The sequence below is a fragment of the Homo sapiens genome, chromosome 6, assembly GCF_000001405.40.
Source record: "Homo sapiens chromosome 6, GRCh38.p14 Primary Assembly".
NCBI classification, from domain to species: domain Eukaryota; kingdom Metazoa; phylum Chordata; class Mammalia; order Primates; family Hominidae; genus Homo; species Homo sapiens.
Window position 1 is genome coordinate 148,565,447 of NC_000006.12, and position 3,449 is coordinate 148,568,895.

At 39.6% G+C, this 3,449-nt stretch overlaps 1 pseudogene; it reads right to left on the bottom strand.

The window, feature by feature from the left end:
- Nucleotides 1,781-2,272, bottom strand: SNRPEP6 (SNRPE pseudogene 6; annotated as a pseudogene).

The window sequence follows — 3,449 nt, forward strand, 5'->3', positions numbered from 1 at the left end:
CAAACGCTGAGCGCTGCGATGTCTCTTGGCCTGATTTCCCCAGGGAGCAGAATGCTAAGCCACACTGGCCTTGGCCCTGCTTCTAGCACTTGCTAAACCATGCGGGCAGAGGCTGTGCTGAGTGCTGTCTCAGAGGTCTGAGCTTCTGTCACGGTTTCCTTCATTCATCGCCAGATACTAACTCACCCACTTCTAAGGGATGGCAACCAGAATTTGTCTTCAAATTTAGTTGCTTTATGGAATTTTATAGACTGTTTTATCCTTATTTTTGACTTCTTCGTGTTTTTATTGACTTTGGCAGGGAGTAGGGCTGGACAAAAAGTGTCTTGGAAGTGAGAGGCGGTGGAAACTGAGTGCTTTCACCAGGGTGATGACAAGTCATTCTGTGTCTCCTTTCTTTCTTCCTGGCTAAATATTTGTTGGTTATGTTTCTGTACAAGATAAAATTCCTAAAAAGGAAAATAACTCAAAGTTTAGACAGGGTTTCATTTTGATATTAAAGTATTTTGCATGTCATTTTTTAAAAAGTGGAGTCCTTATTTAACGGGAGGAAAGGGCTCTCCTGCCTCCCTGCTTCCACAGCCCCGGGATAGACTTCGCAGCCTATGGAGTCATCACACCACACTGTCATTAGTGCCCACGTCGATATTCTCCTCCCTGGACTGAGCTCCCAGGAAACAAGAATTGGCATGCTGCATCATTCCTACCCCACCAACCAGCGCAGCGCCTCCTCCATGCCAGGGCTCCACAGGTATTTGTTGGATGAAGAGTACACAACCAGAAAGTTAACGCCAGCACCTTTTTTTTTCTTTTTTCAGGAGCCTACCCTAAGGGAGAGTGGAAATGAGCAAAAAAGGAATGTGCAGCCCGGGGACTTTAGGTCTGCTCCAGCCTGTGCCTGCCAGCCTTGGCCACTCTGCCCTAACTTCTAGTTCTGTCTTCTGGGACGTTGCTTTACAAGCTGTGCAACACAGTGAAGGAAGTAAGTCATGTCTTTATCCTCACCAGTGGTCAGTGGGTCAGTTATCCTGCCTAGCACCACCCATGCAAATACACAAGCATTTCCTCTTTGACTGACTCACTTGGCGAAGGCGTGGGCAGAACCACACAACTCTTCCACCAAGAATGATGAAGTACATGATTGTGTTTTCATGTGAGCAAGCATTGTGAAGCCAGGAACTTTCCTCTTCCTCACATTTCAGACCACATGCATTTGTGTTTTGTTTGCTTCCTCATGCAGGAGGCAGCAATTATGGCAGGGGAGAGACAAGAGGAGTAGCAGAGGCCTTTCAGTGGGTCATCCAGAGAGGCATCTAAAGGTGCCTCTGCTCCAGAACAGTATTTGATGCATATAAAGGACATAGAAATGGCTGACACTTGGGTTTAGGTAGTTTCCCTGGTGCGAACCTCAAAAATACCGGCCTGATATGTGGTGAAATCTTGGTCAACCTCAATGCTAATGCTGGAACTGCCTCTTGCACAGAGATGCTTAACTCAGGGGTCCACAAACGTGAATAGAAGAATTTTATCATTTTTTTCCTTCCAACTAACTTCTGACTGCAATTTAGCATTTTCTTCAATTCTGAATGTAAGCAACAATTGCCAGTATTAGCACTGTCTGTGACATCACCCATAAAAACCACAGATATTTTTTCTTTCTTTCTTTTCTTTCTTTCTTTCTCTTTCTTTTCTTTTCTTTCTTTCCTTCTTTCTTCCTTTCCTTCTTTCTCTCTCTCTCTTTCTTTAATTCTTCTTTCTTTCCTTTCTTTTTCTTTCTTTCTTTCAATTCAAACAATCCTACAGCATTTATTGTCATCTTGTAATGACATAAGGGTAATCCAAACAATGTGAATAAATGTTCATATTGGACAAAGGACATCTAAAAAACAAAGTGTATCCTTCTCAACAATTTCTCACTTAATTGATCATTTCTAGTTGGAGACACTTTGTAGCAGAGTAATAGTACCTCCTTTTAGCATGATCTGACCCAGCTGTCTTCTTGACTTTGTTTTAGAATGAATCTCTTCTGCATCATCTAATACAAGGTTCTTACACTCATCAAAACCAATGATAAAGCTTCCTGTCCAGATTCACTTGCTCATAGACCCACACCTGAATCCAGGGTCTATTTTGTAAGTATCTGAAGATGAGGTTGATGGGCTGCACCATAACCTTCTGCACTTTCTGGCCCTGGCTGTGGTACACCATGGTGGAATCCCACAGAAAGCACACTGACCCACACGCTACCTCAGCCAGCAACTTCTGGAATAAAAAACCGAAAATGGGCTGGGCATGGTGGCTCACACCTGTAATCTCAGCACTATGGGAGGCCGAGGCAGGCAGATGGCTTGAGGCCAGGAGTTCGAGACCAGCCTGGCCAACATGGCGAAACCCCCTCTCTACTAAAATACAAAAAAATAGCTGGTTGTGATGGTTCACGCCTGTAATCCCAGCTACCCAGCTACTTGAGAGTCTGAGGTGGGAGGATAGTTTGAACCCAGGAGGCAGAGTCTGCAGTGAGCTGAGATCATGCCATGGCACTCCAACCTGAGCAACAGAGTAAGACTCTGTCTCAAAAATAAATAAACCGGAAGCGGAAGTGTTCAAAACACAGATATTTTCATGTCACTTCAGAGTGGCTACAAATAGCCCATGATGTTATTTGTACTCATCACTACTTAGAAATGATGTAGCTATTGAACCCACTGCTAGATCTTGGTTTTTAGTGCGGTAATATAGAAGCACTTGTGTATTACAGTTCTCCAGAGGTGGTAAAAAAAATGTATGTGTACATATATAACTATGTACGTGTACATATATGCATATATATACCCACAAATTTTATATTATATATAAAATTTTGTTATATATAATTATATTACCTATAATATACTTATATTTTATATTTTATATGCATATGTGCATATATAATAATATATACAATGTAAATACATTATATATTAATTATATAATTATTTTATATATTATATAATTATATAATAATTATATTATATTATATATATAATAATTATATTATATTATATATAATAATTATATTATATTATATATAATAATTATATTATATTATATATAATAATATTATATATATTATATAATAATTAATATAACATTTATATATTATATAATATATAACATTTATATATTATATAATATATATTACTATAATATAAATGTGTATCTATATCTATATCTATATCTATATCTATCTATAGATATAGATATCTGCCCTATCCTGCTTATGCAAAGCAACATCCCAGAAGGCAGAACTAGAAGTTAGGGCAGAGCGGCCAAGGCTGGCAGGCACAGGCTGGAACACAGACCTAAAGTCCCCAGGCTGCACATTCCATTTTTGCTCAATTCCACTCTCCCTTGGGGTAGCCTCCTGAAAAAGGAAAAAAGATATAGGTGCTGGCGTACTTTCTTGTTGT